General features: G+C 52.3%; 1 protein-coding gene across 15 annotated transcripts in view, besides 4 other annotated features; it reads left to right on the top strand.

The window, feature by feature from the left end:
- ZNF423 (zinc finger protein 423) overlaps positions 1-21,123 on the top strand; it is a 371,756-nt gene that overhangs the window by 345,852 nt on the left and 4,781 nt on the right. The gene's annotated exons all lie outside the window — the stretch shown is intronic.
- Positions 10,121-10,220: an enhancer, noted in NCBI's record as "active region_10805". NCBI's record gives its function as "activates an Ori minimal core promoter by ATAC-STARR-seq in GM12878 lymphoblastoid cells {active_cell/tissue: GM12878}" and the evidence as "EXISTENCE:reporter gene assay evidence [ECO:0000049][PMID:35858748]".
- Positions 10,231-10,280: an enhancer, noted in NCBI's record as "active region_10804". NCBI's record gives its function as "activates an Ori minimal core promoter by ATAC-STARR-seq in GM12878 lymphoblastoid cells {active_cell/tissue: GM12878}" and the evidence as "EXISTENCE:reporter gene assay evidence [ECO:0000049][PMID:35858748]".
- Positions 19,657-20,278: an enhancer, noted in NCBI's record as "H3K4me1 hESC enhancer chr16:49527061-49527682 (GRCh37/hg19 assembly coordinates)". NCBI's record gives its function as "activates a minimal SCP1, AML or CMV promoter by ChIP-STARR-seq in naive H9 embryonic stem cells {active_cell/tissue: H9 hESC(naive)}" and the evidence as "EXISTENCE:reporter gene assay evidence [ECO:0000049][PMID:30033119]".
- Positions 20,279-20,902: an enhancer, noted in NCBI's record as "H3K4me1 hESC enhancer chr16:49526437-49527060 (GRCh37/hg19 assembly coordinates)". NCBI's record gives its function as "activates a minimal SCP1, AML or CMV promoter by ChIP-STARR-seq in naive H9 embryonic stem cells {active_cell/tissue: H9 hESC(naive)}" and the evidence as "EXISTENCE:reporter gene assay evidence [ECO:0000049][PMID:30033119]".

Raw genomic sequence — 21,123 nt, 5'->3', positions numbered from 1 at the left:
AATAATAATTAAAAATCAAAAGTGCTCTAGGCACATACTTAGCATTTGACTCTGGCTGCGCTTTCTGTGAGTAGCGGCATCTTCCTCCTTCCTGCTTTAGAGATGGCCCCATCCTTGTCAACCTGACTTCTGCTGGGAGACCAGGGCCCAGATGGGTGTGGCCTGAAGTTGCTGGCTGACACCCAGTGGTGGTTCCAGGGAGTGAGAACCTGTTGCTCACGCTGGAGTCAGCCACTTGTGAGGCCAGGAGCCTGGGGAGGGCTGAGAGTTGGGCTGGCTGCTGACCCCCCGAAGTCTCCCAATCCCCATTATTTTCTTTTTTATTTTTTTGAGACAGAGTCTCACTCGGTCACCCAGTCTGGAGTGTGCAGTAACACGATCTCGGCTCACTGCAATCTCCGCCTCCCGGGTTCAAGTGATTCTCCTGCTTCAGCCTCCCGAGTAGCTGGGATTACAGGTGCCCACCACCATGCCTGGCTAATTTTGTATTTTTAGGAGAGACAGGGGTTTCACCATGTTGGCGAGGCTGGTCTCAAACTTCTGACCTCAAGTGACCCACTTGCCTCGGCCTCTCAAAGTGCTGGGATTACATGTATGGGCCACCGTGCCCAGCCGCCCATTATTTCCTACTGCAGATGTTGTATTTCTCTGGGCTCAGTTTCCACATCTGTTAAATGGGGTAAGACCTGCTGCCTCGGGTTGTTGTGAAGATGGAGTTCGCATGTGTAAAGCACTTTATAGCACTTAGGATAGAAGGATTGCTGAGGGTCATTGTGGCCCTTTTCCAATAGGATCACTTTATGCTTCCTGCCTTCCCCACTAGGGTAGGAAACCAGAGCCCAGCACAGCCTGAATTCTACTGAATGTGACCACATGTTGTGGCGATGCCATGCCCATGCTGTGGAGCTCACAGTCTGGCCTCAGATGCCAGCCCTGCCACCAAGCAGCTCCATGACCATAAGCAAGTCACCGGCATTCTCTTGCTTTCAAGAGACCAGGGTTATTGAAGAGCCCTTCTTTGTTTGGTACTGGGGTAGCTGAAGGCAGTGATGCCTGAAAAGCTCCCAGCATTGGGTCTGGGTCAGAGTCAAAGGTTGGTGAGCCCTAGTCATTGCCCTGCCTGTGGTCTGGAGGTGGTGGGCTTTCTGTTAATGCGTTCATTGACTCATTCAATCAATCATGTGTGGACGTGCTCAATCTAGCCTGCAAGTGTTTACTAAGCACCTGATCTGTGCCAGCTGTGCATAGGTGCTGGGGACAAACAGAGGCATAGACTAAGCCCCTCACATGTTGCAGGGAGGGGAAAGTAAGCTAATAAGGACAAACAGAATTTTTGTTATGTGTTTGTGGAATATAATATAATGTGATGTAATATGGTATAGTATATAGTATAGTATAGTATAGTGCTGCATCATACCATATCACTCATACTACATACTAAATACAACATAAGTGCTACACAAAACAGAGCCCCACAGTTGGGCCCCCATGTGACATTAAGGGGCACTGTGGAGCCTGAGCTTTGCCCTTGCTCCCTGTAAGTTACTGTGTTACGAGCACAGTTGGTCTGTGTCTCTAAGCCTTGGTTTATTTACTGTCAAGTGGGGCAAGGGTGTTCCCAACCTAATAAGGTGTGGCATCATCATCATCATCATCACTGTTGTCATTGACATGATTATTATTGCTGCCACTACTGGAGGCAGCTGTGTCTCCTGAGGGGCCATGTGTGGCAGTTTGTGGTCTGCCTTGGGAGAAGTCTGGGGTGGACACTGACAACACTCCTTGTCCTTAGAAGGCCCAAGGCACAGGCCTGAGCCCCTCACCCCAAAGTAGTACAAATGAGACAGCATTTCCTGAGTGCTTACTGGGAACCTGACTGTAAGCCCTTCATGTGGGTAGCCTCTTAGGACCTCACGCATGAGGTCCATGTCATAGATGGGTAAACTGAGGCTCCCCATGTGGACATAGCTGCCAGCGTGGAGAAATGTGAGGCCAGGCAGTCTGACATGAGTGCCTGTGTTCGCAGCCTGCGGGCTGAGGCAGTGGGGTTGGAGATGACTCTCAAAGCCCTTAGAAGCCAAGGGTAGGTCTCTGGGTGCAGGGTCTCGAAGTGGGCCTCACCTCCCAGCGAGGCAGGCGTTCTAGAGGGTGACATGGAGGCTGCATGCAGCTCCCGGGGCATGATACTGTCGCTGGTCTGGACAGCCCTGGGTGAGCAATGGCTTCTCCCTGGTCACCACAGAGGCGCAGTGAGGAGCGGGCACCGGAGGGGTAGTGTTGAAACAGAAGTCTGTGTCCAGCTGTGCTCAGATACCCTCGTGAGCCTTGAGGGTCAGCTCGCCTGAGCAATGAAGTGTGTGGAGGCCCAGGTGGGGACTGGGGGGCCTCCCCTCAAGGCCCAGCTCCAGGCAGAGATGGCACTTGGAATCAGCCTCCGGCTGCCCGTCTGCCCATTGGAGCCTGTCATTCATGCCCTAGGGCAGGGGGCCAACCAACTTTAGAGGGCACCATGCCATCTCGACAGATGGGCACGGGGGAGCTGCCAGGAGCCTCAGGCCGGTGGCCATTGTGTGTGTGGCGAGCCGAACCCCTCCCCGGCGCTGCCTCAGCCGGGACCACATGCCTTCAGTTTCTTAGTAACAGTGACAACACTGCGAGTGGCGGCGCCTCACCGGCTCCACATCCACAGAGGTTTGCACCCTGTAAGCCCTGCCCCGCATTGACTCAGACAAAGAGGGAGCCTCTCACACGGGAAGACATGGGGCCTTGGGGCCTGAGGGGAAGACCCCAGACATAGACACAGACACAGACACTCCTGTCAGACCACCTGGGCTCATAGCTCTGCTTTCCTGGCAGCTCTGCCCACATGGGGAGTCTCAGTTTACCCATTTACAACAAGGAGACACACTCATGTGAGGTCGTAAGAAGCTACTCACGGGAAGGGCTTGCTGTGAGGTCCCTAGCAGCACTCAGGAAGCACTGCCTCATTTTTACTGCTTTGCGGCGAAGGGTTCAGGCCTGTGTCCTGGGCCTTCTAGGGACAAGGAGCACAGTCAACGTCCACCCCCCAGAAATGAGGTTTGGGGGCCTCAGAGTTGCTTTGTCAATGTGACCTTGGGCATGTGACCTCCCTCACGGTGACTCATTGTCGTCACCTGGACAGTGGGCTGCCAGTGCCCCTCTTGGAGGGTTACTGTGGGGATGCAGCATCATGCTTGTAGATCATCGAGCATGGTGCCTGGTCCCCTAGGAAGGCCACATGGAGGAGGCAACATCTGAGGTGGAATTGGCAGAGTTGATGTGGATATCACTGTCCCTCTTTCACAGATGGGAGAAGCAGGCTCAACAGCGAGTTTAAGCCACTCGCTTGATGTCGTGTCCCACGGCTGGTAAGTGGCAGAGCTGAACCTGCAACCCTGGTGGTAAGAGGCAAGGTGAAGGACGATGGTAGCACCACCACCAACCAGGCACTAAGGGAATCCTTTTGCCTTGATTTTTTTCCCATTCTGAGGGCAAACCTATGAAGCCAGTGCTGCTGTTATCCCCGTTTCACAGGTGGGGAGACTGAGGCATAGTTGGGCAGAGATGAGATTTGAACCCAGGCAGCCTGAACATACAACCATTGTCCTAACACCAAGGGCAGGATGTTTTGTGTTACTGAACTCCATTTGTGTCAGAACTTTCTTGATACAGCAGCCTGTGATCCTGACTTATTGGGAGCGGGGATGGCTGCCTGCATCAGGAGGCTGGGGTCTGGCATGGCTGGGGATGTCTTAGCCCCCATCAACGAGAGACCAGGGTGCTCTGGGTGGAAGCCTGGATTGTACTCTTTGGTCAAGCAGGAACAATTACTAATGACATTTACAAAGAAATTAATGATGAGAAATGCAAGTTGGCATTTCAGGAGCACCCGTCAGCAGCCGTGCGCCAATACTCATAGGAGAGGCGAGGTGCTGGGGGCCGGGCATGGGGAAGAGGAGATGGCAGAAAATTAATTTTGCTGTGTCAATAATGTGGCTCCACTCATTCTGCTTCTGAAGTTTAGACAGAATCAATCATGGACGGACTGGGGCTTGTCCGGGGCTGCATTGAGATTCACTGTGTGGCTGCAATATGAGCAAGGGAAAGTGACAGTTTCAGTTTGGTGTCTCCTTTAGGCGTCCCAGGGGACAGCAGGGATGGGAGTGGCAGGGGACAGTGAGAGGGAAGGAGGTAGTCATCCTAGGACAGGGCCATTTGGGCTAAAATCTATGTACCACCTCTTACCAGCTAGACGACTTAGCGAGCCACTTTGCTTTTCTGAGCCTCAATTTCTTCATCGGTCAAACGGGAACAACTGGGAGAAGTAAAGATAATATATAAAGAGCAGAGAGTCCAGTTTCTGACACATGGTAGGAGCTCAGTATACGGGAGCTGTTGCCTTATTTCACGGTTGTATTTTAAGATACACAGCTTTCCTCCTTAGAGCCTCTCTTACATTAAGTTGCAATACCTCATTTGTGTGCTGTAGTTTAATTGGTCATATTTTTTGTTTGTTGTGATACATAAAATACTGGAGCATCTTATGCTCTTTGGGGTTCTAGGGTAAATAAAATACAGCGTTGGTGGGAAGCGTGGTGGAAGGTGAGGAGCAAGATGCTAAAATTGTCTAGGGCAGGGAGGGGATTTCCAGTAGGATAAGGAACCATGCCTGCCCCTGCCCTCCCTGACTTCAGGAGCATCCAGAACAATCTAACCCGGTCTCTCCTCACATAGGGGAGAAGGGACGCACAAGGAGAAGTCACTGTTTTTATAACATTGAACACTTTTATAGAGCAGAGGGTGAAAACTCACAGTCCATGGCCTGGGGATTGTGGAACTTTTAGAGGGTTCTCTATATTCTATTTTCACTTTTTTTTTTTTTTTTTTTTTTTTAAGAAAGAGAATCTTGCTCAGGCTGCAGTGCAATGGTGTGATCATAGCTCTCTGCAGCCTTGAACTCCTGGGTTCAAGCAGTACTCCCACCTCAGCCTCCTGAGTAGCTGGGACTACAGGTGCACACCACTATACCCAGCTAACGTTTTTATTTTTTGTAAAGATAGGGTTCACTATGCTGCCTAGGCTGGTCTAGAACTCCTGGCCTCAAGCAATTTTACTGCCTTGGCCTTCCAAAGTGCTGGGATTACAGGCATGAGCCATGCGCCTAGCTGGTTGTCTGTGTTTTAAAACAGAGAATTTCCATCATCATAAAGAGTCATTTAGCTAGTGCTTTTTGAGTGCCCGGCATTGTTCTTAGCACTGGTAGGCATAAAAACATTTGATCCTCACAATGCCTCTAATATGAAGACAAGCAAAATGAGGCACAGAGAGGTCAACTAACCCCCCAAGGCCTCAGAGCTGGTTAATGCTGGACCCAGGCCACCAGCCCCGGCTTCTGTCCTCTTCACCACCACACTAAATGGCTGGATTTATTGATTTTTCTATAAATCAGGCCTGGCAGCCCCTGGCCGACATTTCTGTGTGACCCCTTTGGATACTGGGATGTGCTTCCTGGTTCAACACAGCCCACAACTGGCCTTCCTTACCTGGCTTATTACCAACTTGCACTGTGAGTTTGTAACCCCGTTGAAACACTTCACAGTTTGCAATTATTATCTCATTGGTGCCTCTGCAACCATTGCTGCCTCTGCAACATTCTAGGGGCCACTAGAAATGCTCTTGACTCTCACCATTTTGTAGACTTGAATACAGGCTTGGGACCTGGGCATTAAAGTAGGATACTGGCAGAGAGAAGTGGGGCTTGTGGTGGGAGTTGTGGAATGTGTTCTACTCATTTGGGTTTGAGTGTTTGAGCGGAGGAGGCAAGTGAGGCTCTCTGCTTCCTGCACAGTGACCAGTTTCCCAGCTGAGGCCACACCTGGAGGTATAGTCTAGACAGCTGCAGCCCTGACCTGTGGCGCCATCTTTGTTTCCTCATCTTTGCCTCAGAAGCTGCCACATCAAAAATGTGGTATTGGCCAGGCGTGGTGGCTCACACCTGTAATCCCAGTGCTTTGGGAGGCTGAGGCAGGAGAATGGCTTGAGGTCAAGAGTTTGAGACCAGGCTGGACAACATAATGAGACCCCGTATCTACCAAAAAAAAAATGTGGGATCATCCATGTTTTTTAGTTGACAGAGATGACAAAGCCCTGTGGTTAGTATTAGTTATGACCCTATTAAGTGTCCATACAGCATTTTACATGTTATAAAACCTTTTACATATGTTATCTAACTTGAAGCTTCTAACAAGGCAATGAGGTAGATATTATTAGTCTTACTTTTCAGGTGAGTGAAGGAGTGCTTAGAGAAGCGAGTGACTTGGCTAGGGTCAGAAAGACAGTAATTAGCCAAGGCAAGATTTGATCTCCAAAGCCCATTGTCTTCTCATCAACTCATCAACGTTTACCGTCCTACCCAGTTATTTATTCATGCACTCCTCTTCCTCCCACCATTCATCCATTCATCTACACATTTATCCATCCACCCACCAATCCATCTACTCATCCATCCACTCACCAATCCATCTACTCATCCATCCACTCACCAATCCATCCACCCATCCATCCATCCATGCATCCATCCTCTCATCCATCCTCCAGCCACCCATCCACTCATCCATCAATCCATCTGTCTATCAATCTATCACCTACCCATTCGTCCACCTACCCATCTCTCCACCTATCCATCCACTCACCAATCTGTCCACTGATCCTTCCATCTATCTATCCACCCACCTTTCCATCCATCCATACATCTGTCCATCACCTACACACCATTTCATCTATCCATCCATCCATCTATTCATTCATCTACCCATCAATCTGTCATCCACCCACTCCTCCACCTACCCACCTATCTATCCACCCACCTTTCCATCCATCCATACATCTGTCCATCACCTACACACCATTTCATCTATCCATCCATCCATCTATTCATTCATCTACCCATCAATCTGTCATCCACCCACTCCTCCACCTACCCACCTATCTATCCACCCATCCACCCACTCACCAATTCATCCACTATCCATCTTCCACCTACCTATTCCTCCATCTACCCATCCATCCATCTGTCCATCATCCGTCTACCATCCATTCCCCCATACCCATCTACCCACCTATCCATCATTTATCCATCCATCCATCATCTACCATCCATCTCCCTATCCATCCAGCTACACGTTCTTTCACCATCATCACCCTCCAGTATTGAGTGTGAGGTACGTGTCAAGAACCACACAGCTTTTCGGATGCCTTCTTCGTGTGCTCTTAATTTCACACTTCACTCTTACCTATCCCTCTCCTTACTTTAAAACTGTGCATATACCTACACACACATACACACACACACGAAAGCACACACCCCTCTGGTGAGATGAGTGGGATGGGACAGACTGGCGATATAGATAATTCTTGGTTTGCATTATGAAAACCAGTGACTTCTGCCTGGTGATAGAAGTGGGGGGCACAGGGCAGACCCACTTGATCATTGTGGGGCAGGTATCTGGGCAGTGACAATGTGCCCACTGTTTGGTTGGAGGCTGGGTATGTATGAGAGGGCAGACGAGGCATTTGAGGCCAGGCCACAGCATTCTTCAGCCTCATCAGTGGGACCAGCTTCCAAAGAGTGGGCAGCCCATGGAGCCCTGCCTTTCTGGGTGACGGGATCACCCTTTGCTGGGTGCCAGGTTGGACCCCCTCTCTGGACTGGCAAGGATGTACACCTACGTGTTTCCCAAGAACCGTCACAATCATAAAGTGTAATCGGTCTCAGCTGCAGTTTTGATCACTGGTGCGTGCACACAATTTATCACAGCAAATTAGGTCCATCCTTACAAGCTTCTGCCCTGCAGCCTGGGGGTCTGTCAGCAAGGGGGCTGGGCCATGAGGGGCTGGGGGCCATTCTTGGGGGTTGATGGGCCATGTTTTCTGAGGAGGCCCCCTCAGAATATCCGCCAGAACAGTTCTTAGTCTGTAGGACTTAATTTTCTAGAAATTTTGAGGATGCAGGAAAGTTTTCCTTTTAACCAAAATTTGGAAGAAAGTAAAAATGGACACGATCAAAGTTTCCTTATATCATTTGCAAATCCTAAAAGCACTGGGTTAGTTTGGGGACCTGAACATATGTGTTCTGTATAATTAGTGACCGTGTGACCTAGATTTTCCAGTACAGTCCTGATTTCAAGTACTCCATCCCAGCTCTTGGCTGTTTGTCCTGATTTTTGGTTTGTGGAATATGGTGACTCTATGTGGATCTTGGTTTTCTCATCATATTTTGATGAATAAATATTTAAAGTGGTAAAGGCTTGCAGAGTCAGAAAAAATTTTCTCCCACTTATTTTTTTCCAACCTGGCAAAACATGTCATGTGTAGGTGTGCCCTGTGCTCACCTTCCTGCCTCCCACCTGCCCTGCCAGAGCAAACACAGACACTTCCTTCCTGCAGCATTTGTAAGCCATCAGGGCCCCCTTTGCTGGACTGGCCTATGACTGCAGGTGAGGCCTTTCCATAGGGGAAAGAGCTCCCAGTTCCACAAGTCTCTTGAGGTCTTCTGTTCTTCCACTAGCTGGCACTGGGAGCCACACTGTAGACAACAGTGGATGGCTCAGCCCCAGCAGCACAGAGAAAGCCCCTCTGCTTGCACTCAGCTGGTGGCATGTTGTCCTGGGATGCTGTGGCTCCCTCCCACCCAGCTGAGGATGTCTCGGGCTGCTATGATCTGTGCACCTTCCAGCCAGGAATGTCGCTGAGTGTCTTAGCTATTGGTGCAGCAACCCTTTCTCTTACCTTCTAAGATCCTGCCCACTTTTTTGTTGTTGGTGGTGGTGACAGAGTCTCATTTTGTCACCCAGGCTGGAGTGCAGTGGCACAATCTCAGCTCATTGCAACCTCCGCTTCCTGGGTTCAAGTGATTCTCCTGCCTCAGCCTCCCGAGTAGCTGGGATTACAGACACACGCTGCCATGCCCAGCTAATTTTTGCATTTTTGGTAGAGATGGGGTTTCGCCATGTTGGCTAGGCTGGTATCGAACTCGTGGCCTCAAGTGTTCTGCCCACCTTGGCCTCCCAAAGTGCTGGCCTCCCAAGGTGCTGGGATTACAGGTGTGAGCCACTGTGCCTGGCCTGTTTTTCATTGTAAAAATTCACGTAGCATAAAATTTACCATCTTAACCACTTTTAAGTGCTGGTTCAGTGGCATTCAGCACATTGACACTGTTGTGCAATCATCACCACCATCTACCTCCAGAACTTTTTCATCTTTCCCATCTGAAACTCTGTTCCTGTTAAACATTAACTCCCCATTTCCCCTTTTCCCAGCCCCCAGCAGCCACTGTTCCACTTTCCATCTCTATGATTTGGCTGTTTTAGGCACCTCGTACAAGAGAAATCATATAATAATTCATTCCACCTGGCCTAGTGTCCTCAAAGGATCCATCCCAGCTTTAAGAAAAAGGTATAACCTGCTCTGGGCATGGCCGGGGCAAGGGTTATGGGGAAGACAGTGGAGCGGGGCAACTGTATTTTTTCTTCTTCTCCCTTGACCCTATCAGTGGAGGCCTGGCTTTGCTACAGTAGCTTGCAGGCTGTCATTTCAGAAATACTCGTTGAGTTTTTACCAAGCACAGGCTCTGAGCTAATGGGGTACAGTGGAGAGCTGAGACAAGGTCCCTGTCTTGTTGCGCTGATGGTGTCATGAGGGGCAGTTGGCCATGGTGCGTCAACAACCAGGTCACTGCAAGTTGCAGGACATGCAGAGTTGAAGCCTCTGCAAGGTGCAGAGCGATGTTGTGATGGGAGTCTGTGGTCAGCGGACAGGAAGCCTGCTCCAGGAGGATGGCTCCGATGTGGAGAAGCCCCAGGAAAACTGGGGTGTGGGGGACACTCTGGATAGCGGGAGTGCTGCTGGGAGGGGGAGGGGCTTCCGGGCTGCGGTGTTTGGGGGCCTGGCAGAAGGTGGTGGCTGAGGCTGTGGGCCAGCAAGAACCAGACCATGGAGGGCCATCTGGGCTGTGGTCAGAGTCCGGATGTGTTCCGGGTGTGGGTGGGACCCGCCAGGGAGTTTAAAAAGCAGAAACCCTTCTACAGCTCTGCCTCCTCGAGGAGACAACCCGGACTGTGCTTCACGTTGTTTTCTCAGCTTTCCTTTGCCAGGAAGGGGGCCTTCAAGGGGCCCTTGCGTCCTGGGCAGGTGGGGCTGCTGGAGGGACTCAGCAGTGGGGTGAACGTGGGGCAGATTAGCCGCACAGGGTAGACAGAAGGCCAAAGTAAAAGTAACTGGCCTCTGACCGCTTAGCACTACATGGTTAGTGTCAGGACTGGGGTGTGTGTGTGTGTTTCTGGGGGGGGATTCGAGGGTATCCATGAGTGTGTACCTGCATGGGGTTGTGGGGTGTCCATGAGTGTGCATGGGATTGTGGGGTATCCGTGTGTGTGTGAGTGTGCATGGGATTGTGGGGCATCCATGTGTGTGTGTGTGTGTGTGTGTGTGTGTGTATGCGTGCACATGGGATTGTGGGGACCTATGTGTGTGGGCACATGGGATTGGGGGGTATCCGTGTGTGGGGAGGGTGGGCACATGACGGGGGCAGGTGTGTGTGTGTGTGTGTGTGTGTGTGTCTAGAGTATTTGTGTGTGTGCATGCATATAGAGTGGTGTGTGCACAGTAATAGGAACGCTGCCTTGGGAGGCTGCTTTCGTAAGCACCCCAAGGGGCTGCCCCTCTACCATGCCTGGCCTCTCCTATTCCCCATGGGACACTGTGGAGGGTAGAAGGGAGGGATCTCAGGTCCTTTGAAGCAAGGAAGGTGTGGGGGTTACTTATGGTCCAGATTTTTGAATGCGGTCATGTGGCAAACTCTGGCGCTTGTCTCTCCAGATAGCCCACGGACAACCCCCGAGACAGCCGTGTTGAGCCTCCTGGGTGGCTCTAGGAAAGTGGGAGTTTCTGGTCTCCTTACATGCTCCTTGGTCTCCCAGGTTTGCCAGCACCTGGCGCACCCAGAAACACTTGGGCTGGCTGGGTGGGAATGCCCATGAGGCAGCAGAACCCAGGACATATGGATGGTTCTGTCTTAACAGAACTTCATCTTCTACCCTTACCCTCTTTGTCAGAACTTAACCACACCGAGTCCCACATCCCAGCCCCTTGGCTGAGGATTCAACTAATGTTGGGCCATCTGCTGCCTAATGACACCACTCCCCACCTCACTTCAGGGTGTCTGGGGCTTCTCGAGGCCCTCACCAACCCCAGAGGTCTCAAGCTGGTGGCCCGAGGGCCAGATTCAACCTGCAGATATGTTTTCGTGGGCTTGCATAGTACTTTAAACATCAAGAAAGTTTATGGATTTATTTTACTTCCGTTTTCCCCCAACTTTTATTTTAGATTCCAGGAATACATGTGCAGGTTAATTACATGGGTATATTGCATGCTGCTGAGGTTTGGGGTATGACTGAATGCATCACCCAGGTCATGAACATAGTACCTCATAGGTTGTTTTTCAACCCTTGTCCCCTCCCTCCCTCCCAGCTCTTTTATTCCCCAGTTTCTATTGCTCCCAACTTTATGTCTGTGCGCACCACAGTGTTTAACTCCCACTTATGAGTGAGAACATGTGGTATTTGGTTTTCTGTGTCTGCATTAGTTCACTTAGGATAATGGCTGCTAGCTGCATCCATGTTGCTGCAAAGGACATGATTTTATTCTTTTTTATGGATGCATAATATTCCATGATATATATATGTACCACATTTTCATTATCCAACCCACTCTTGGTGGGCGCCTGGGTTGGTTTCATGTCTTCGCTACTGTCAATAGTGCTGCAGTGGACATATGAGTTCATGTTTCTTTTTGGTGGAATGCTTATTTTCCTTTGGATGCATCTGCAGTAATGGGATTGCTGGGTTGAATGGTAGTTCAATTCTTAGTTCTTTGAAAAATCTCCAAACTGCTTTCCACAGTGTCTGAACTAATCTGCATTCCCACCAACAGTGTATAAGCATTCCTCTAAGAAAGCTGATATTTTAAACAAATCTAAATTTCCAGTTTTCTTGCAAAACCGGAAGCAACACTGGGCCTATATTCGCATGTGGCAGTCATTGCCTAGAGCTGACAAGTGCTGCCTCTTCTTGACAAAGTTTGAGTTCTTGGGGCTGACACAGACCCCACTGGGTCTTACTGCTTTGCACCTGGCCTGTGCTGCACTTGTCCATGGTGTGAACCTGACAGCACCCACACTCTAATCTTGAGGCCTCCATCCAGACATGCAGTTCCATGTGGTCAGAGGAATCCTCCCCACTGCAGACAGATCTCCTGGAATTCACCCGCTCTTTTTCATGACATAAACATTTTCTGAGCATTGGTACCCCTGCTGACAGGTGCTTCCGTCTTCCCAAACTGCTTCACGTGCATGATCTTCTTTGACCCACACTAAGAGCAACAGATATACTTTGAAGTGAACCCTTTTTTGGTTTTGAGAACCCGTCCACCCAATAGCCTTTTTTTTTTTTAAATGAGGTCTCACCCTGTGGCTGGAGTGCACTGGCATGATCCTAGTTCACTGCAGCCTCAAATTTCTGGGCTCAAGTGATCCTCCCGCCTCAGCCATCCGAGTAGCTGGGACTACAGGCACACGCCACCACACCCACCTAATTTTTTTTTTTTTTCGTAGAGATGGGGTTTCACCCAGGCTGATCTCAAACTCCTGGCTTCAAGTGATCCTCCCACTTCAGCCTCCAAAGTGCTGGGATTCCGGGCATGAGCCACTCACCCAGCTCCAGTGCCATTTTTTATGGAGTTTCGTCACTTCCACCCCAGGCTCTTCTCAAGGCTTTGCAAGAGGTGCACTTGACTGGATTCCTGGCCCAGCAGCATCAGATTGGGGCCCCATCTTTTAGGGGTCTGATTCAGGCTCTTTTAGGGCAGGGGACTGTGCACTAATTCATATTTGAGATGAGCTGTCCCACGGGGGCCTGGTTTCAAGCAGGCTGCTGTGGTTAGAATGGAGTTTGCAGTGGCCACAGGTTGACAAGATCAGTGCAGCATTTCTACCCAGGAGGGGGCCAAAGGCCACAGAAGTGAACTTGTGGTCACCTGGCACACTGTTGCTAGGACCCCCGATTTTCAGTCCTGAATCTGCTGCTAGGTACCCTGTCCCCAAGGGGCTTAGCCACAGGGTACCCCCACCTTCTTTGGAGAAACAGCAGCAGTAGGTGGGGGTCACATTAACTCAGGCCTCAGAGTCAGGCATAGACTCTGTTGCTGAGGAGGAGCAAGTCTATAAGCAGCCCTGGAAGCATTCCATCTTCCTTTGCTTGTGACAACAGCCATAAAACTCTCATTTTCCCTTGCACGGCTGCTATCTAAAGTCTCACCGCTCACCCAATTCTCTGCTCACAAACAGACTGACGGGGCCCATTTGCATTCTGAAGTGCAGCTCCCCTGAGTCCCCTGTCCCTCCAGGCAGGTATTATTAGTCCCCTTGTTTTGTTGGGTGACTCTGAATGGGAGCCTGTTTACGGGCTGGGTTCCTAATAGAAGGCTTCGGTTCCCTCCTAATAATCTATCCCCTGGTGGGTTTTATTTCCAAAGTACAGCAGTACAGAACCTGCCCTCTTGGGAGTTTATTGGGCTTTTTTCTTCCCCACAATATTTTCTCCCACGTTTTCATGCGAGGGAAGAGTTTCCTGCTCATGGAACTGATTGTTGACCAAGCCACCTGCGTTGGTCTTTTGTGTCCTGGCAAGAGGGGGTTCACGGAAAGTGGGGGGCACCCTCCTCCCCGCCTCGGCTCCATAGAGCATCTCAAGAACACGGAAAACCTGGATCCGGTTGGCATCAATAAAAGGAGTCTGGGTCAGAGGCTGTGTGGATGTGGCTCTTTCTCAAATGTTACCCCAGGTGACTCAGGTCGCTGCATCTGCTTCTGCTACTGGTTCGGCAAGGAAGCTGCAGAACCCCCACCCCAAAGCCAATCCCCTTGCTCCCTGGAAGTTGGAATCTCCCTCTAGGCCGGGAGTTCCGGATGAATTGAGGCTCTCACATGAGAGACAGCTTCCCTGGCTGAGCGTTGCAACACTCATCTCCTGCTGCTCCGGGGTGGCAGACGACAGGCTGCCTCACTGTCTGGCAGGCAGGGACGGGAAAACCTCACGCACATCCCGTGCATGGAAGAGCTGCTGCTCCCTCTGCCATAGGACATCTCAGGGCTTTGTCCAAGGCCAGTGGGCCACCAGCTTCACTCTGAGGCCAGGGTTGGGTGTCACACCCACTCGGGCAAACCTTGCCCTGCCATCTGCGTAAATGAGGCAAACCTCGGCTTGCTGGGTGGGGGTCATGGGAGAAGTGAGGTGTGTCCACGTCATAGCCTGGGCCCCGGGGGATTGACTGCATCACAGGGCAGGCATTTAGAGGGAACCTTGGCCATCACTCACTCCTAATTTTAATGACATGCATTAGCTAAATTGTGTTCTGAGTATTCATTCGGCGCTGTTTATGGTGTGCTCTCGAGTATGCTTACCGTTTGTCAGAAGTGCAAACTAGCGAACATATGAGCCTTTAAGACAGGCCATCTGTTCGTCTTAGACCCTTGGACGATTGTCAAATTCTTCTAAAAATAAGTGCTCACAAGCAGAGAGGGGCTGCCCAGGTGATACACAGCAGATAGGGGAGGCAGGGCTGCCTGTATCTATACCCTTCCCAAAGGGAAAGAAGTAAAGTGTGGGAGGAAAGGGGAAGGTTTTCCAGGGAACAGGGGATGGGAGCAGAGGGAAATGATGGGCGAGAAGGCCCTGCTGACACACCTTTTTGGCTGGAGGCATGAGCTTCTCCCTGTGTCTTGCCTCTCCTGTAACTCCACAGCTCAAATACCTTCCATGGCTCCCCATGGCCCAGATTTAAGGGCAAGCTGCCTCGTCTGGCATCAAGGAGCCTCATCAATAAGGCCCCCGCCTTCCTCTCCAGGCTGGTCTCCATGGCACATACCCTGTGCTTCTGCCAAGCTGAATTATTCATTGTTCCCCCAACATATGCTGCACTTTTCACATCTCACAGGCAGAACAGTGTGGTGGTGAAGAGTGGGCTCTGCAGACAGACTGCATGGGTGCAGACCCAGCACTGCCATCACCAGTGGCAGGACCTGGGCCTCTCTGCGCCTCAGTTTTCTCATCTGTAAAATAGGGAGGATGAGAGTATTTAATGCGCAGGGCAGTCGTGAGGCTTAAATGAGCTAATATGGGTGGAGGTTAAGAATGGTGTCTGGCACACAGTGAGCCTACCATCAGTGTTAGCAGCGATCATGATCGGTGCCATTCCCACCTTCGTGCTGTTGTCCAGGGGTTCACTCTGCCTGGAAAACCATCTCTCAAGCTCTCACACACACACCCAGTGCAAATCCTCACCTGGGCTGTCCTTAAAGGGCAGCTAAAAGGCCAGCTTCTTCCTTAAGCATCTCCTATTGGAAGTCCTCTCTCTATAGTCCTTAAAAGGCCAGGATTGTGCCTCACTTGCTCTCTTCCGTCTACTGCACAGGGCCAGGTGCCTTGTTTGCTAAGTGAACAAATAACGGGACCCAACTTCACCCCTGCTGAGCACGAACATGGCTGCCACTTCAGCCTCAAGGGCTACTTCTTCCCCTGGAAAGGGAATCTCTCAGTGGTTAAGGTGCATTCTCGGGCTTGGCCCTAGCTCCTGGAGAAAGTGAGTTGTAAAGCCAGCCTTGTGAGAGCCACTGTGGCTGGAACCTGCCAGGGAGTGGCCAGTGGTGGGCAGTGGGGAGAAGGGGGATTGGCCACAACCTCTTTCCCAACCGGAAATCACAGTGAGGTGATGTGCAGGCCGGGTGGCTCTGCAGGTGGGGCCGGGAGAGCAGGGTGGGATGCTCTGGGTGTGGGGGCTGAGTGTTCTTGTGCCTTCATATGCTATAGGGACTCAAAGACTCAAGGGCCAGAACCACGGCCTAGTCTCCAGAGAAGAGCCAAGCCTTCTTTTTTGCCTCTTAATGGTCTTCAGGGTCTATGAGTTTGGCCATCGGCACCCTCACCATGAAATTGTGAGCTCCTCACGGGAGGGCGCTGGAGCTTCTCAACCTGTCTGTGCCCAGTGCCCAGCCCAGGGCCTGACAGACAGGAACTCAGTGAACATCTGTGGAAGAAATGTATGCATGGATGGATGGATGGATAGATGAATAGATGGGCGGATGGATGGATGGGTGAGTGGATGGGTGGATGAGTGCACACCTATTCCATCCCCTGTGGAGTCTCCCTGAGGCTGTCCTCCCCTGCAGACATGGCATTCTGTTCCTGAGGGTGGGGAGGAGAAAGCAGTGATTTGTGGGTACAGGGGTTCTAGCCAGGGGGGATTATGGGGAGGGGATAATGACACCTGTTGTTCCAAGGGCAGGACCATCCAAAGTTCAGCCATCTCGGGATTGTTCTTAAGACCTTGCCAGCCCTTTGGACACCCAGAGGGGAAGGGGGAGGGGTACAGCTGGTCAGTCCATTAAACCTCTATGAGGCCCTCACTGTAAGCCCCAATCGTGCCTGGTCCCACAGAAGTGGCAGGGAGCAAACAGTCCCTCTGCCGTGGAGCACCCTGCCAGGTCAGGAAGACCAGAAGACAGTCCTCATGCCACAGAGCACCCTGCTGGGTCAGGAAGACCAGCACAGACACCACTATGGAGATCTGTGGAGCATTTGCCGTAGCCAGACTGGGACGTATGCAGGCATTATCTCCTGAGTCCTCAGGGCATCTGTATTAGTCTGTTTTGTGTTGCTATAAAGAAATACTTGAGGCTGGGTAATTTATGAAGAAAACAGTTTTATTTGGTTCACAGTTCTATAGGCTGTACAGGAAGCAAGGCGCCACCATCTGTTTCTGGTGAGGCCTCAGGAAGCTTCCAATGATGATGGAAGGCAAGGGGAGCTAGTCCGTCACATGGGGAGAGAGAGAGATTGCAAGGAGGCACCAGACATTTTTTAACAAGCAGATCTAATGGTAAGTCATTACTGCCCAGAGGACACCAAGCTGTCCGTGAGGGATCCTCTCCCATGACCTAAACACCTCCCACTAGGCCCCACCTCCAACACTGGGGATCCCATTTCAACATGAGATTTGGAGGGGACAAACATCCAAACCCTATCAGCATCTTAGGAAGAGGGCTGTGTTATTAACCACCCCCAAAACCCGGAGGTCACAGAACTTGCCCAAGGCCACATGGCCAGTAAGTGGCAGAGCCAAGATTCAAACCCAAGGCGTAGCCCATCTCGGCCCACGAAAGCTTCCTGCCCACCTTGAGGTCACCAGGGCAGTGGCTAGCACCAATGGAGCACTTGCCAAGGACAAGGCAAGGTGCTAGGACTTTACAGACACTGTCCTCAGAGTAGCTGAGAGCCAGGAGAGGCAGCTAGCAGGGTGTGTGGAGAAGCTCTTTTGCTTTATGCTGCTGGCATGCTTAAGCCCCTCACGTCTCTCCCACTTGACATGGTGATGGATAGGTATCAAAGGGAGACCAGGCAGGGTCCCACGCCTAAGCAACAGAGAATGGAGCCAAGATCTTGAGAAGCAATCCTGGGCTTCACACTAGGGAGAGGCACACAGTGTTCCTGTTTGTGACTGTGTTGGGCATGGAGGTGGGCTGAGCCAGGGCCCCCTCCTGGGGCGCGCAAAACCAGCATCAGACCCCAGCTGAACCTCCAAGGAGCCCATTCCCTCTAGTGTGTGGCGGTGCTTTGGGAAGGACAGTGTAGCCACCAGGCTCTGTACTCTGGCCCGCTCCTTCCATGCACAAAACATTACCCTGGATTGGGTTCAGGATCAGGATCATTTTGCTGCTGAATTCCCAGCAACAAGCATAGTGGCTCATTGGCTCAAAGACGAATGAATGAATGAGCAACCATGAAATGAATGCTGGGCTTCTTTCCTTCCAGAGGCTGAGGGTGTGTCAGGGAACCAGTTCCTGAGTGCTCTGCTGACGATTTGCACAGAGAGGGCTCTTTTTGTGGGTCTCACCAGGACCCAGGGTAGGCCTGCCCCCAGCATAGGCAGCACACAGGTTTCTGTGCCCGGGCCCATGCCATCCCCTTGGCTATCACTGTCTTGTGTCCCTGGCCCCGTGTGCCAGGCAGAGGCCCCCAAAACAGGCTGTACCAGAAACCTCCATCCAGGAGAGCACACGAGCTCTGCTGAGTGGATGGATTGAGGCTGCAAACCATTGCTGCCCACCCCCTCCTGCTCTCCCGTTTTATTTTCCTCACCTGCTTCTCTGGCCCACACCTGTGTCTCCCTGGCAGGCAGCGAGGCCGAGTGGATGCCAGGCCTCCCTCTAGGCATTTTCCAGTCCTTCCCTGGGCCCCTGTCTCCACCCCCAGCCTTTATGGTGGTGGGAAGTGTTCATCTGTGGGGTGGGTAGCATCTTTAAAAAACGATTTTCTTCCTTCTCTAAAGGGGCTAAATATAGCACAGGCATAAACAGAGAAAGAGACATTAAGGCTGAATGCCCTTGTGAGAACTATGCTGGATGGAAAGAACTCTTTAAGAAGGTTTGCTGAACCTCCCCACGTTCCTCAAACCACAGCTTCTAGCTGTGGGGGACGGACCACGGGTTCTTTCACGGTTATTGAACTGTGCTGATTGCAGTAGCTGTCCAGAGCTGCTCTGTGTCCTGGTGTTGGGCGACTGGTAAGTCTTGGGGACAGGGGTCCCACCACCTCCTCTGCCTGTTGAGATACTGCCCTTGGCCTATGGAGGAGCCAATGCCCTCCTTGGCTGAGCACCTGGGCACCTCTGGGCTCCCCACCACCATCACACAAACTGATCGGGTGACCTTGACCAGTTTCCCTAGCTGAGCTGCCAGCTGCACCATTAATCCCACAAATGTTTGGGTGTCTGTGTCTAGCCCCTCTAAATCAGGCCCCTCGAGGGGTAGGCCCAGCTGGTGTCTTCCCCTCCCCCTCACTGTGCCAGTGCAGAGCAGAGCATCCAGCAGGTGCTTAATAATGTAGTGCTGAGTGAATTCTGGTGCCTGGTCCCCTTGGGGCATCAAGTTTTGACATTTCCATCTGCTGTGACATCCTGGGCTTTTGTTCCTGTCACAAAACTTCAGGGAAGGAAGTTTTATCCTTCTGTCTCAGAACCCTCTAGGAGGAAGTTCTTTCTTGAGTGTAACCTCAGAGCCCCCTGCTACTGCTATTTAAGTGGGCAGGCACACTGTGGCTTTTCCTGGGGAATGGCATAGGCATTCTGGAGTTTTCCTCACCAGTGGTCCCAGGTGTGGGTTCCAGCCTTCATCATGTCTGCACCAGCAGTGCCCTGGTGAGCCAGTGTGGGCCATGTGTGTCACACTGAGCCTGTTCTTGGCATCCTGGCAACAGGCTGCTTCATTCTCCAGAGATCCCAGACACCCCCTGTGCCCATGTTGGTAGTGGGTGGTCCTTGGGGATTTTGTGGAGATCGAATATCATGTCTGGTTTTCTGTGGCCTGTGGAACAAAGTCCATGTTTGTTGGTACTCAAGGCCTCCACTGTCCGTAGGCCATGTGCCCACCAGCCTTCCTGTGACTTCTGTGCTGGGACCTGTGCCTGCATCGCCACTTGGATTCTAGGCTCCACACCTCCGTCTCTGCTATTCTTTCCTCTTGGAATGCCCTCTCCCCTTTCCACATATCCACATCCTATCCATACATTCATTCGTTTTCTTTCCATTGACTCATTCACAAATACTGCCTGAGTGTCTACTTTGTGCCAGGCCCTAGGAACCATAATTTGAGGACAAGAAAGAGCTGTCCATGTCTCCCTTCCTCATGTCCCCTCTCTTCCTCCTCCCTGTCCTCCCCCTAATAAAGAATGACCCACCCACACCAAGATAGCAGGGGTTTTTGACTGGCGGTTGGCAGGGTGTGAAAGTGCAGACCTCCAAGTTGCTCCTGGGCAGCTGTGCCTGCTGGGGATTGGAGGCCCAGGCGTATGGTCAGGACAGTGCATGCCCAGCCCTGGGTCCTGAGAAAGGAGGTGCCGCCACCCTGTGTGCAGCTCAGCAAAGGAGGTCAGTCTAGCTCATGAGAGGTGCGTGGCTGTGTGGGAGGTGGGCTGCAGGTGCCTGGAGAGGTCTGCAGGGATGGGAAGTGATCCATGTGCCTAGAGGACTCAAAGAGCAGCTTGGTTGGGAGGGAGGAGAAGGGAGGCGGGAACTGAGTCAGCAGAGGCTTGAAGGTAGCAGGAGGATGGCTGTGTAGAGTGTGGATTCGGCTCCCCACAGGACTAGCTGGCTGTCCCTGCACAAGTACAGGGAGAGGTGCCACGGCTGGAGGGTGCGGGTTCCCATGGAAACCGCCTGCATCCCATCTGTGGCCTCAGACAACCTGCCTGGTGCCTCTGGGTCCCTGACGCCCCCGACCGAGGTGTCAGGCCCGGCCGGCAGAGGTGGCACTGTGTCTGGTGCAGAATGCGGGTGATTTGCAGACTGCGGTGCCCATGGGGTGCAGGCCCTGGGAAGCCTGGCTCCCCTGAAAATCCCCTTGCTCTAGTGGATTCCAGCCATCTGGTTCAGTGCCCGGTGCTTCCAACCTGGGTGACCTTGGGCCTGTAATTTTTGCCTTCCTAGGCCTCGGTGTCTTCATCTTAAGAAGTCCCACCTCGCAAGGCTGTTGTGAGGATTGAAAGAGCGGTGCCTGCCACGGCACAGAGCACGCATGCCCACCAAGCCCCGGCCGTGCGCCTGCTCCGCCCGCATGAGCACGAGGCTGTCGCTTGGCGCTGTGGGCATCTGCTGGGAGGCAGGCGCGGGCTGCCTCTTCCCGGCCGGGAGCTCGCAGGAAGGGTCGGTGACATTACCACGGGGGCCGCAGCCTTCGCAGTGCCCGTCACGGGAAGGGACTGCGCGGGGCCCTGCTCCAGGGAGCAGGAGTGGCCCGTCTCGGCCCCGGCCCCGGCCCCGGCCCCGGCCTCGGCCTCCGGGCGAGGCTACTGGCATCACCTGGTCGCCCTCGCCGCGGACCCGAGCCCAGGAGAGACGCGGTGCCTCTGCTGACCCCTGGCGGTCAGCGGCACAGCTGCAGGAGTCGCCGGGCCCTGGGGGGCGCCCAGAAGGAGCCTCTCCCGGGGATCTAGGGTC

This window comes from Homo sapiens, chromosome 16 (assembly GCF_000001405.40).
Source record: "Homo sapiens chromosome 16, GRCh38.p14 Primary Assembly".
Classification (NCBI taxonomy): Eukaryota; Metazoa; Chordata; class Mammalia; order Primates; family Hominidae; genus Homo; species Homo sapiens.
The sequence above is the reverse complement of the archived record's forward strand: the minus strand, read 5'-3'. Positions and strand labels throughout refer to the sequence as shown.